General features: G+C 47.8%; 2 annotated features.

Annotated features, from left to right (window-relative positions):
- Positions 11,147-11,316: an enhancer, noted in NCBI's record as "experimental_86701 CRE fragment used in MPRA reporter constructs". NCBI's record gives its function as "activates a minimal promoter by MPRAs in K562 erythroleukemia cells, with activity observed for the non-introgressed 5:586624 or rs57221529 variant allele {active_cell/tissue: K562}" and the evidence as "EXISTENCE:reporter gene assay evidence [ECO:0000049][PMID:34662402]".
- Position 11,231: a transcriptional cis regulatory region, noted in NCBI's record as "Neanderthal adaptively introgressed variant 5:586624 (GRCh37/hg19 assembly coordinates) or rs57221529 in the experimental_86701 CRE". NCBI's record gives its function as "modulates activity of the experimental_86701 enhancer by MPRAs in K562 erythroleukemia cells {active_cell/tissue: K562}" and the evidence as "EXISTENCE:reporter gene assay evidence [ECO:0000049][PMID:34662402]".

Below are 14,069 nucleotides of genomic sequence, written 5' to 3'. Positions count from 1 at the left end.
AATTGGTAATATTTCTTCATTACCTGTTCATAAAATCTGCTAATGAAACCATCTGTGTCTGGAATTTTCATTTTCAGAAAGTTTTTCTGCTATGAATTCAATTACTTTAATACAAAAGGGTTGTTCAGGCCATCTATTTCTTGTTGAGTGAGTTTTGGTAGTTTGTGGCTTTTAAAGAATTGGCTTATTCCTTCAAAGTTGTCAGATGTATATGCAGGGAGTAGCTCATAATGTTCGTGCATTGCCCTCTTAATGTCTGTGGGTCAATAGTGATATATCCTCTTTCATTATTGATACTGGAAATTTATCTCTCTTTCTCCCTTGCTAATCAGTCTGGTTAAAGCTTTATCAATTTTACTGATCTTTTCAAAGAACCAGCCTCTAGTTTATTGATTTTTCTTTGTTGTCTTTCTGTTTTCTATTTCATTGGTTTCTCTTATCTTTATTCTTTCCTTCCTTCTGCCTGCTTTCAGTTTAATTTGCTCCTATTTTCGTAATTTCTTAAGGTGGAAGCTTAGATTGTTGATTTATAATTTTCTTCTGTTTTTAATATTAGCATTTCTTTTCTAACTAAATGCTTGTAGGGCTATAAGCATTTAGTTCTATAAATTTCTCTCTAAGCACTGTTTCATTTTGCTATATTTTTCATTTTCATTCAGTTCAAGTGATTTCCAGTTTTTCTGAGCCATTCTCCTCAACATTTGCATTGTCTAAGGAGTGTGTTGTTTAATTTCCACCTATTTGGAGGTTTTCTAGGCATTTTTATATTATTGATTTCTAGTTTAACACCATTGTAGGTTTTTTGTATTTTAAATTTTTTCACATGCATTTTATGACCAAAAAGAAAGTGTATGTAGATGTTGTTTGGCAGAACGTTTTATAAATGTTAGTTAGGTCCAGTTGGTTCCTGGAGCTGGTCAGTTCTTCCATATCCTGCTAATTTACTGTCCACTTTTCTATCAGCTACTGAGAGAGGAGTTGTTATGGACTGAATTGTGTCCCACAAAATTCACATGTTGAAGCCCTAACCCCCAATGTAACTGTATTTAGAGACAGGGCCTGTAAGGAGGTGATTATGGTTGCAAGAAGTCATATGAGGGGGTCCGATTCAATAGGACTTATGTCCTTACAAGAAGATGGAAAGAAGCCAGGAATCATTCACTCTCCACACCAGCACAAAAAAATACCATGTGAGAACACTGAGAAGTCAACCCCAACAGCCTTCATCTTGGTCCTCCAGCTTCCAGAATGGTGAGAAAACAAATTTTTGCCCTTTAAGGCCCCAGTCTGTGGTATTTTGACATGGCAGCCCTAACCAACTGAGATGGGAATGTTGGGGTCACCAATTCCAGTATGGAGCTGCCTGTTCCCTTTCAGGCAGCTCTATCGTCTTTGTCTTGTGTGTTTGGAAGCCCTATCGTTGGGTGCATATGTGTTTAGGATTACTAGGTCTTCTTGGGGAGTTGATCCTTTGTCATTATGCAACGTCCCTCTTTACTCTTAGGAATTTTCCTTGCTCTGAAATCTACTTTGTCACTCCAGTTTTTTTAATTGGTGTTTGCTTGGCATATCTTTTTCTATCCTTTTATGTTTAATCTGCCTATATTTTGTATTTAAAGAGGGTTTTTATAGACAGCCTGTAGATAAGACTTGCCTTTATCCAGTCTGATAATTTCTGCCTTTAATCAGTATGTTTAGATCATCTACATTTATATTCATTACTGATGTGTCTGAATTTAGGTCCAGCATTTCTTGCATGTCCTCTATTTGGCACCTCTGATTTTTTCTCCTTTTCCCCTTTGCATGTCTTCTTTTGGATTATTGGGATATTTTGTGGTATTTCATTTTGATTTATCTAATGGTTTCTTGAATTCTATCTCTGTGTATTGTCATTCTAAGGATTGCAATATACATTCTAACTCCTCCTCACCTTGCCAGTCTATGCAGAATTAATATTTTACCACTTCTGGCTGGAATGCTGGGACCTTGTCCCCACCAAGGCCCCTTCACTGTGCCCTTTGTCACAGTCATCGTATTGCACCTGCACATATTGAAAATTCAACCAAGCAATGTTGTTAATTGTTGCTTTCAACCATCATATGTACTTTAAAGACTCATCTACATGCTGTCTACAAGAAACTCATTTTCAATGTAATGATACAGACTGTTTCACAGTCAAAGGATGGGAAAAGAGCTATCAGGCCAACATCAGTTACACAAAAATCCTCAAACAGCTCTATTCATGTGAGACAAAATAGATTCAGAGCAAGAAAAGTCACTTGGGGTAAAGAGGAGAACAATAGTGTGCTGTGTTTCCTTGGACATTTACTGCTTGTCTTGCCCTTTCTTCCTTCTTGGGGTTGTGGGTTTTCCTCTGTATCTTCCCTCAAGCTGAAGAACTTGCTTTGGCATCTTTTAAAGCAGGTGTGCCGGCAACAAATTCTCTTAGTGCGTCCTCACTGGAGATCATCAATTTTTCTTTCATTTCCGAAGGGTGTTCTCGCGTCGATTTTTCCTTCGTTTCCGAAGGGTGTTCTCGCATCGATTTTTCTTTCGTTTCCGAAGGGTGTTCTCGCGTCGACTTTTCTTCATTTCTGAAGGGTGTTCTCGCGTCGATTTTTCCTTCATTTCCGAAGGGTGTTCTCACGTCGACTTTTCCTTCATTTCCGAAGGGTGTTCTCACGTTGATTTTTCATTTCTGAAGGGTGTTCTCGCATCGATTTTTCCTTCGTTTCCAAAGGGTGTTCTCGCATTGATTTTTCCTTCATTTCTGAAGGGTATTCTCGTGTTGATTTTTAATTCATTTCTGAAGGGTATTTTCGGTCGATTTTTTCATTTCTGAAGGGTATTCTTGCATCGATTTTTCCTCCATTTCTGAAATTCTCACAGATGCACAACTCTGGCTTGGTGCTTCCTTTGGTTTCTTGTTTTCAATGTTCTTCCACATCCTGGTCTGCACAGCATCTGATGAGAAACTGCAGCCGGGATTATTGTGCCCTGTAGGGGATGTGTCATTTCTGTCTGACTGCTTCTCTGGAACTAATTAAATAAGTTAAACCAGTGCTTTTTCTCCAGGAAACACTTGGACACCTGTCTTTTATCACCTACTTGTCACTGTGGGAAACTCAGCTCTCAGCCCAGGGGGTAAAGCAGATGTTGACAGGTGGTTGGAAATCAATTGCCCTCCTTGGCTGACATGAGCCCCAGGGAGCATGTTGACTAATCAGTGGCCTTTGGGGAAAGAGCAGTATCAGGTCCAGAGAGAGGGAACCATCCCCAGTGTATCCAAAAGAGGAAGCACACTGTTGTGGGTACGATTGAGTTCCCCCTCAGAAGGTATGTCCAAATCCCAACACCCAGTGCCTTATTTGGAAATCAGGTCTTTGCAGATGTCATTAAATAAGATGAGGTCACACTGGACTGGAGTGAGCCTAATGATGACACCCTTATAAGAGAGAGAAATTTGGACACACAGACACACAGAGAAGGAAGGCCAGCATAGTGTGATGTTGTCACAAGCCAGGGACAACCCAGAATTGTGGACAACACCAGAAAGGGAAAGAGGCAAGGAAAGTTCCTCCCTGGAGCCTTTGGAGGGTGCATGGTCCTGTGGACACCTTGAATTACACGTCTCATCTCTGAAACAGTGACAGAATACACTTCCAGTGTTTCCAGCCATGCGGTGTGCAATAATTTGTTACAGAAGTCCTAGGAAACACGTACACACACCTTTTCTTTGTGTATTTAGCCTCTTTGTCCTTAAATCCCATAAGTCTGCTTTGGCCAAAGATGCAGGTCCCCACTTCTTGGCCGTAAAGAGAAGGTTTCCCTGGCCTGGCCACATTGCTTTTTGGTTCAGCCTCATTGCTGACTTAGGGACAACAGGAACTTATCCCCAGGAGAGGTTCTGAGGGAAGCAAGAGGCTCTGTAGCCTCTTGCCAGGGGCCCGGCGTCTCTTCAGTATGGACAGAATTGAACAAGTGAATGGCCTGCTCCTGAGTCCCACTGGCTAAATTAGGGGTCGGGCTTTGCTTTCCACCCCGAGTGTGAGTGCAGCAGCCAGGCTCCCCATCACAGCACAGGGTGGCACATGGATGGGGCAGTGCCTCTTCCACAGGAATGCCAGCAAAGCCACATCCTGAGGCCATAAGGTGGCTCCAGTGGTCAGTAAAGATCTGGCCTCGGCAACGTGTGGGACTCGTGGGACATGTCACGGAACAGAGTGTCTAATGGCAACAGGCTGGGCTGTGACTTCTGCCCTGGGCCAGGGACATGCACAGTGTGTCTTTTTGTTTTTGTTGTTGTTTTTGAGACGGAGTCTCGCTGTCACCCAGGCTGGAGTGCAGTGGTGTAATCTCAGCTCACTACAAACTCCACCTACCTGGTTCAAGTGATCCTCCTGCCTCAGCCTCCTGAGTAGCTGGAATTACAGGCACACGCCACCACACCTGGCTAATTTTTGTATTTTTAGTAGAGACGGGGTTTCACCATGATGGCCAGGCTGGTCTCAAACTCCTGACCTCAGGTGATCCACCTACATCGGCCACCCAAAGTGCTGGGATTATAAGTGTGAGCCACCGCACATGGCCCACAGTGCATCTTTAAATATTAAACAGGAAAAGAAATCAACCCAGGAAATTCCACTTCCAAAAATGGAAGTCTAGATCACCTATACCCCCCCAGATGCCAAGGATAACTGGAAAACTTGGACAAAATAGAACCATATCTGCTTGAAGGCACTGGAAACCAACCAAGTAGTGTAGACACGCCTGGCTGGCACCCAAGAGAAATGCGACTGTAGGTGGGTGAGCCTGGGATCTGGGTGTAGACAAGCCCGGCTGGCAGCCAAGAGAAATGCGATTGTAGGTGGGTGAGCCTGGGATCTGGGGACATGCCTTCTGTGGGCCATGCCAATTTCAGGAGCAGTGGCTAAAAATCAGTGCCATCCTTTTGAAAGTACTTTGGGGTCGGGGGACAAGTGTTGGCACAAAGACCCAGGAGGAATAAAGTTTCTGCTCTGTATCCCCTGCTTGGGAAGAGAACCTATATAGCTCTTCATGGGGATAAAAGGTAAACTGAGGTCAACCAGCCTGCCAGGGGCCGCAGCCCAACTCCAAGTCATCTGGGAACTCCAGGACCCCCCTGTCCCTGATCCTGGGTTACAGTGTTCCCAGACCAATGGTGTGTCCAGGTGGGGAGGCACAAAGCCTTAAAACTCTGCTTACTTTCTCAGCTGGGAAGCAGATAGCCTGGGGCAGGTTTGCAGCCCTGCTCACCCACTGCCCGGAGACAGACTTTGTGCTGTTGGGAGTGGGGGCGAATGGCAGGAGTGAGACTGGCCTTGCTGGCTGTGTGGGAGTGGGGTGAAGCCTGTAACTGCCTGCTTCCCCACACTTCCCTGGCGACCTGTATGACACAGCAGAGGCAGCCATAATCCCTCTGGGAACATAACTCCATTGACCAGGGAACCACGCCCCATCTCCTACAGCAGCTGCAGCAAGCCCCACCCAAGGAGAGGCTGAGTTCGGACATGCCTAACCCTGCCCCCACCTGGTGGTCTTTCTCTACCTGTCCTGGTAGCTGAAGACAAAGGACATAATCTCCTGGGGGCTCTAGGGCAAGCTTGTATCTTCTCTATAAAACCTCAGCTGATGCACTCTTGAAAGCACCACCTCCTGGCTGGAGGCCAACCTATACCAAACCAGCGCACTTAACAACGCTACCACCAAGGACCCTCAGAGTCCACTTCACTCCCCTGACACCTCCACCAGAGCAGGTGCTGGTATCCATGGCTGAGAGACCTGAAGACAGAGCACGTCACAGGACTCTGTGCAGACACTCCCCTGTACCAGCCTGGAGCCCAGTAGCTCCACTGGGTGGCTAGACCAAGAAGAGCAAAACAATTACTGCAGTTCGGCCCTCAGGAAGCCCCATCGCTAGAGGAAGGGGGAGAGCACCACCTCAAGGGAACACCCTGTGGGACAAAAGAATCTGAACAGCAGCCCTTGAGACCCAGATCTTCCCTCTGACATAGTCTACCAAATGAGAAGGAAGCAGAAAAACAATTCCAGTAATATGACAAAACAACATTCTTTAGTACCCCCAAAAGTGCATGCTAGCTCACCAGCAATGGATCCAAACCAATAAGAAATCCCTGAAGTGCCAGAAAAAGAATTCAAAAGGTCTATTATTAAGCTAATCAAGGAGTTACTAGAGAAAGGTGAAGTCCAACTAATGAAATTTTTAAAAAATGATACAAGATTTGAAGGGAAAAATCTCCAGTGAAATAGATAACATAAATAGAAATCCACATGTTAGACACACTGTAGTGAACTACAGAAAACCAAAATAAAAATAAACATCATAAAAGCAACCAGCATACAAAGTAAGATTACTTTAGAAGGAGCAAAAATTTGATAGACATCCAACTTCTCAGCAGAAACAATGGAAGCCAGAGGACAATGCAATAAAATCTTTAAATGGTGTAAGAAACAAAAAATAACTCCCAGTCTAGGATATTACTCCAAGTAAAAATATCATTCAAGAACAAAGTTAAAATAAAGCTATTTTTATAACAAAGACAAAAGAAAACAAAACTGAGAGAACCACAAAGATGCTGGCAAAGCAGTAGGGGGAAGAAAACGATCTTTTCAGAAAATGGTCAGTTTTACGTCTCCTCCCGTGGAGACATGGATGAAATGCAACCTCCACCTGTCATGGGCCCCCCCTCTGAGCCCCAAGACAACAGCTAAAGCTGGCAGGTACCCCTCCTCAGAGGTCTTGATTTTAAAATAGTAGTAGTTCCAATATTTCCCCTTTGTTCCTCCAGCCACAGGTGTAGTAGCTTCCTCTAGTAGCCTCTACCTTCAAGATATCTTTCAGTTGCCTGCTAAACTCCAAGCCTGGTTAACAATCCTTCATTTCAGTTTTCTGTGTTTAAATAATTGCTGTGGTTTCTGTCTCTTGATTGTGCCCTCACTGGTATGTGGGGTTCATGACAACCTGTCATTGACTAAAATGGCAATCTATATTTTCCAATATAAATAATATATTCATGACAACACATCAACATTCTTAATAAGAAAATTCTTTTAGGATACCAGGGGAACATATCTAATTATACCTAACACTCCCTTGTTTGGTGACAGGAAACTCTGGAATTTTATGGAAAATACTATGACCATGATTCATTAACTTATTTAAAAAGCATTTATCACCCTAAGAATATTTTTGGACTCTTAAAGGCAAGGATTGTGCTTTTTCCTTTGGAATTTTGTGGACTAAAATAGAAATGGGAATTAGAGACAAAAATCCTGATAACAACTCTATCACTAGCTAATTATGTCTTGTATCTTGGGCAAGTCTCTGTCCCTCTCATTTAGGCAAGTTCCTTCCACAGCAAAATTGGAAAATTAAACAGTGTAATTGTTCAGGTCTTGTCAGATACATGACTTTTTGCTATAGCATTCAACACATTAGAAATACATCAGGCAGCCAGTAAATGTTTACAACAGAAGTGATATGGTTTGGCTGTGTCCCCACCTAAATCTCATCTTGAATTGTAGTTCCCATAATCCCCACATGTCATGGGAGGGACCTGGTGGGAAGTCATTGAATCATGGGGACAGTTACCCTCATGCTGTTCTCATGATAGTGAGTGATTTTCACAAGATCTGATGGTTTTACAAAGGGCTTCCCCCTTCACTCTGCACTTCTTCTTGCTGCTGCCATGTGAAGAAGGACATGTTTGCTTCCCCTTCCACCATGATTGTAAGTTTCCTGAGGCCTCCTCAGCCTTGTGAAACTGTGAGTCAATTAAACCTCTTTCCTTCATAAATTACCAAGTCTCAGGCAGTTCTTTATAGCAGCATGAGAACAAACCACTACAAGAGGAAGTGCATTTGAATATGCCCACTTTGGTGCTAGCAGCCTCCATGGTGCCACAACCTGACCATGCCTCCCTGGCTCCTGGTATTCACTTCTCATCACACTAGGTTGGACCCAGGCCAAATGACAGTGGCAGATGTTGTGGGTGTCACCTCTGAGATCAGGCTGTGGAAGACCACGGCTCCATTCCAAGTGCTCACTCTCACATCACTGGCTCTAGGAGATACTTAAGGAGAGCAACTATTAGGTTGGTGCAAAAGTAATTGCAGTTTTTGTGATTACTTTCAATATTTTAATAGCACCTCCTGCCAAACTCATTTGAGAGACCTTGAAAGCAGATCTGCAGCCCCAGTTGAGCCTTCAAATTACCACAGCCCCAGGCATGAGCTTGACAGCAGCCATGTGACAGCCCCTGAGACAGAACCACCCAACTCACCACTCCCAGCTTCCTCACCCACAGAAACTGTGAGATGATGAGTGCTTGTTGCTCAAGCTGCTAAGCTGTGGGGATTTGTTACACAGCCATGGATAATGGATACACTTCTCAATGGGATGGTTAGGGTGCAGCCAAGGTGGAGGCGTGAACTATGTGGGCAGCTGATGCCTTCCTCTCCCTCTTGCATTTGAATGATGGTTTGGGACCTTCTGTCTTCAAAGCCAAAATGTGTTCCTGATCACATTATTTATGGCTTAGCAAGGCAATGGTGTCACTGCAAGACAAGGACATAGATCACAGCGTCCTGAAATTGGGACAACACCTGGCTCGAATTCACGGTTGAGAAAGCATCTGCTGAGCCTGGCACTTCTGAGGATGCCTTCCTGGAAGCTTCAGTGTCAGACAGTGTGGAGTTATGCTTTTTCTCTTTCGGGGCAGAAAATTCCAGAGCTGGTGAGCTGCAGGATGAGCCCCCAATGTTCTGACGGTTGTGGGCATGGCAGGTGCCAAGAATAACGCACACCCTCCGCATTACAGCCTGGATGGGCTGTGGGTCCATTGCCACCCCAGAGCTGCTGCTCACAGAATGAGGCACAGCCTGGGCTCTGCTCTGCACCTGTGCCGGGAGCAGCCTGGGGCATTCTGTGGATTTGGGGATAGGTATGATTCCTTGTTCATTTTTATTTCAAGGTTATAGACTGAAAACATCATCATCATTTCTGACCCTAATGCCTCGACAGACACAGAAGGCCTCACACCTCTGCCCTCCCCCAAAGATGTCACGGGAAACGTCAACAGAACATCCTTGTCACCACTTCATTTTCACCCACACAGCATTTTGACGTGTTGCAGAAACACAGCACAGCACTGGCAGGTGTTCTGCAGGAAGACACGTGTGTGAATAATGTGTCCATAAAAACAATGTAAAACAATTGACAAAAATGACAATTAGTATCAGGAGGCTTGGCCGCTGGGGGAAGATGTAAAACCAGGCTAGAATCTCAGCTGTACCCACCGCTGTGCTCTGGGGCAACTCACGGGAGCATGTTCTCCACCAATTTGCGATGGAATGAGGTCATTACTGGACACGATGGCTGCAAGACAACGCTTCCATATTTCCCATAACAGCCATGTCTGCTGCCTGACAAATGTTGGAAGGACAGACAGGCCGAGACCGGAGGGGTCTGTGCCACACCCCGGACTCCCACCCTCTTAATAAATCCAGGGCTTGGTTTTCACTGCTTTGTCTGGATGAGCCAATCAGCAAGGGATGCACCTGAGCCTCTGTGTGAACTGTGCAGAGCTCTGCATGCAAGACCACTATGGAATACGCCACTTCCATGCATGGAACACACAACTTCCACATATGGAACACATCACCTCCAGGCATGGAACATGCCACCTCCAGGCATGGAACACACCACCTCCACATGTGGAACACAGATCCTCCACATATGGAACACACCACCTCCTGGCATGGAACATGCAACCTCCACATATAGAACACACCACCTCCTGGCATGGAACATGCAACCTCCACATATGGAACATGCCATCTCCACGTATGGAACACGCCATCTCCACACATAAAACACACCACCTCCACGCATGGAACATGCCACCTCCACGTATGGAACACACCAACTCCATGTGTCAGGGCCTGCTCTGTGCACTGCAAGGTGGCCTGGAAGGATCTGGAAGAGCAAGTTCACAAGCAGTTGTGGCCAGAGCTGGAGCCGGGCACCTGGCATCCTGATCGGGTGAGTCTGCTCAATGCTCCTGTCTCCATGTTCAAGGCACTCTTCCAGGAAGGTGGGTACTGAGAGGGCCCCACCCCACCCTGAGAAGCGGCAGCCTTGGGAGGCCCAGGAAGTAAGAGCACCCATTAGCCCAGAATAGTGTGTATTGTTGCACAATGTGCAATGTCTATTAGTAATAATTTACCAATATTGGCTCATCACGTGTAACCAGCATTCCATGCAAACGCAAGGTTTAATAAGGGAGGGAGGGGTACATGGGAACCTCTGCCTTCCTGCTCACCATAACCCTAAGACTGCTCTAAAAATAAAGTCTACTAATTTTTCTAAAAACACCTATGGAGTGATGTCATTGCCTTGTGGGTCTCAGGGGTGACAAAGCTGCAGCACCCAGAGGCCATACAGCAGCCCCAGGTGCCACAGACTCTGCACGGTGCTCAGCCAGTCTCCAGGGCTCTGACCCAGTCAGGCTGTCCAGGGCACCTCCTGTGGTCTGGTTGCCCAGGGATCAGGTCTCTTCAGGGATGGGCAGGACTCTGTCCCCGAAGGCCTGGCACCATACCAGCTTGAGGATGTTCAGCCAGCACCTGCACCACAAATGCCATCCACCAGGAGGGCCAGGGGGCCTGTTGGGCACCACTCGGCCAATGAGACCAGGATCTTTGGCAAAGAGACGCTGTCAAATGTGCAGCCCACAGTCAGCTCAGCATTTCTGGGGCTCTGTTGCCCCTGCAGAGCCAAAGCGTTCAGCAGCTTGTGGGGCGGGCACAGAGAGGGTGGTTGGACCAGCTGGAGCTGCAGAGAAGGGACAGGCGCCCACGGAGCTGCTACAGCTGGACATCAGGATGGACGCAGAAGGTGAGGGCCACCAGGCTCAGGTGTTGATGGAGAAATGATTCTAAACAGCAAGTCAGAGCTGCCCGCACCCTCACACGCTGCCCTCCACCCCCCATTCCCCCACTGCCACCTTGCAGCAGAAGCCCAGGGGGTGGTGCAAGGTCAGCCAGGAAAGGGCCCTGATCCCAGGGGCTCAGCGGAAAGTGCAGTGGACTGTGGCTCAGTGGGCTCAACCCCTGCTAACTGCTCCCTCAAATGGAAGATGCGTTGTTTTAATTTTCTTTGATTTTAACAAAAGGCAATGCATTTGTGTGGCTTGATAATCAAACAGTAAAAAGTTATGCAGTCAGCAGCCTAACTCCCACTGCCACCTCGTCCCCTGCCAGCTCTCACGCCCTCCGGACTCTGTGCCTGTTGCTTTCATGTTCGGGCTCCCAGAATTACTTTTGCAAATGCAAGTAAATGCCTGCGCAACTTCATCACCCTCCTCCCATCTTAAACAAAAGGTTTCATTCAACAAACTATGCTTCACCGTTTGTTTTCCTAATGATACTGCATGGAGCTTGCTTGCTTGCTTCTCTTTCTTTCTTTCTTTCTTTCATTCTTTCTCTTTTGTCTGTCTTTCTTTCATCTTTTTCTTCTTTCCTTCTCTTTCTCTCTTCCTTCCTTTCCCCTTCCCTCCCTTCCTCCCTCCCTCCCTTCCTTCCTTCTTCCCTTCCTACCCTCTCTTTCTTTCTTTCTTTATTTTCTTCTTTCTCCCTGAGACAGGGTCTCACTCTGTCACCCAGGCTGGAGGGCAGTGGTGCAGTCCTGGCTTACTGCAGCCTCAACGTCCTGGGCTCAAGCAATCCACCCACCTCAGCCTCCCAAAATGCTAGGATAACAGGCATGAGCCGCCGTGCCTGGCTGGAGTTCTTTCAGGATGAGATTTAAACCATATCTAACATTGACTTCCAGTATGTGTATCGTATGTGTATCTTCAGGGGCGCAGCCTCAGCACCTCTGGATGGAGGGTACCTCGGCCAAGGCTCTTTCCCTAGGGTTCTGTGTGATTGAGGGTCCTGTCTTTGAAGCTGTTGGGAGGAGCGGGGGCACACCCTGACCTCCCCCCCGTGCCCCACCCCCCAGTGCTGCGTTTGGAGCAGAGCACTCTCGGAGTGCCATGGTCCCCATGTTCAGTCACCTGCTGGGTGCCAGGCTCTGCATAACCCCATTACCTCTACATCAAGTCCTGCCAGGGCAGAAATATTATCTCCATTTTCCAGATGAGGAGATGGAGACCCAAGAGCTGCAGAGCTGTCTCAGATGGGACAGTGAGTGAGTGACAGAGCCAGGGTCAAATCAGCATGTTGTCAAAGTCTATGCTGTCCTCATGCCTCACTGCCTTCTCATCCATCCCTGAATCCATCCATTCAACCTGTTCATTCCCTCATCTATCCACCCACCCACTCCCTGACCTATCCAGCCACACACTCACCCTTCTAGCCACCCATCCATCCACTCACCCTTCTAGCCATCCATTCATCCACTCACCCTTCTAGCCACCCATCCATCCACCCACCCTTCTAGCCACCCATCCATCCAGCCACCCATCCATCCATCCATCCACTCACCCACCCATCCAGCCACCCATCCATCCACCCACTTATCCATCCATCCACCCACCCATCCAGCAACCCATCCATCCACCCACCCATCCATCCATCCACCCATCTATCCATCCATCCACCCACCCACACATCCAGCCACCCAACCACCCACCCATCCATCTATCCACTTATCCATCCATCCAGCCAGCCAGCCACCCACCCACCCATCCAGCGACCCATCCATCCACCTATCCATCCATCCACCTGCCCACCCACCCAGCCACCCACTTATCCATCCATCCATCCATCTACTCAGCCACCCATCCAGCGACCCACCCATCCACCCTTCCACCCATCCATCCACCCACACATCCAGTCACCCACTTATCTATCCATCCATCCACCCACCCATCCATCCACCCACCCATTTATCCATCCATCCACTCACCCACCCATCCAGCCACTCACCCATCCAGCCACTCACCCATCCAGCCACCCACCCATCCAGCCACCCATTCACCCACCCATCCACTCATCCACCCACCCATCCAGCCACCCACCCAACCAGCCAGCCACTCACCCATCCAGCCATCCACCCACCCATCCAGCCACCCATTCACCCACCCATCCACTCATCCACCCACCCATCCAGCCACCCACCCAACCAGCCAGCCACTCACCCATCCAGCCATCTATTCATCCACTCACCCATCCATCCATCCACCCATTCAACCTTCCAGCTGCCCATTTATCTACCAACCCACCCTCCTAGCCAGCCAGCGACTCACCCATCTAGCAACTCATCCATCCACCCACCCACTCAGCCAGCCACCCATCCATCTGGCCACCCACCCATCCACCCACCCATTCATCCACCCACACACCTATCCAGCCACCCATCCATCCACCTACCAAGCCAGCCATCCACTCACCCACCCACCCACCCAGCCAGCCGCTCATTCATCATCCATCCACCCATCCATCCACTCACCCACCCATTTATCTATCCATCCAGCCAGCCACCCATCCACCCACCCACTTACCCACTCAACCAACTACTCACCCATCCAGCCACCCATCCATCCACCCACCCACCCATCCGTCCACCCATCCACTCACCCACCCAGCCAACCACCCACCCAGCCACCCATCCATCCACCCACCCACTCACCCACCCATCCATCCACCCGCCCACCCATCCACTCACCCATCCATCCAGCTACCCAGCCATCTACCCACCCATCCATCCACCCACCCATTCTTCCATCCACCCAGCCACTCAACCACCCATCCAGCCACCAACCCACCCACCCATCTACTCGCTCACCCATTTATCCACCCATTTATCCAACCATCCATCCACCCACCCATTCATCCATTTATCAACCCATCCATTCATCTACCCACCCACCCATTTATTCATTCATTCATTCATCCATCCATCATCCATGCAATCCATGCATTCATTATCCACCCATTCATCACCATCCCACTCACCCACCCATTCACCTCTCTGTTCATCCATCTATTAAAGGTTTACTAGGAGCCAAGCCTTGCACACT

The sequence above is a fragment of the Homo sapiens genome, chromosome 5, assembly GCF_000001405.40.
Source record: "Homo sapiens chromosome 5, GRCh38.p14 Primary Assembly".
Classification (NCBI taxonomy): Eukaryota; Metazoa; Chordata; class Mammalia; order Primates; family Hominidae; genus Homo; species Homo sapiens.
This window is presented reverse-complemented; position numbering and strand designations above follow the sequence as displayed.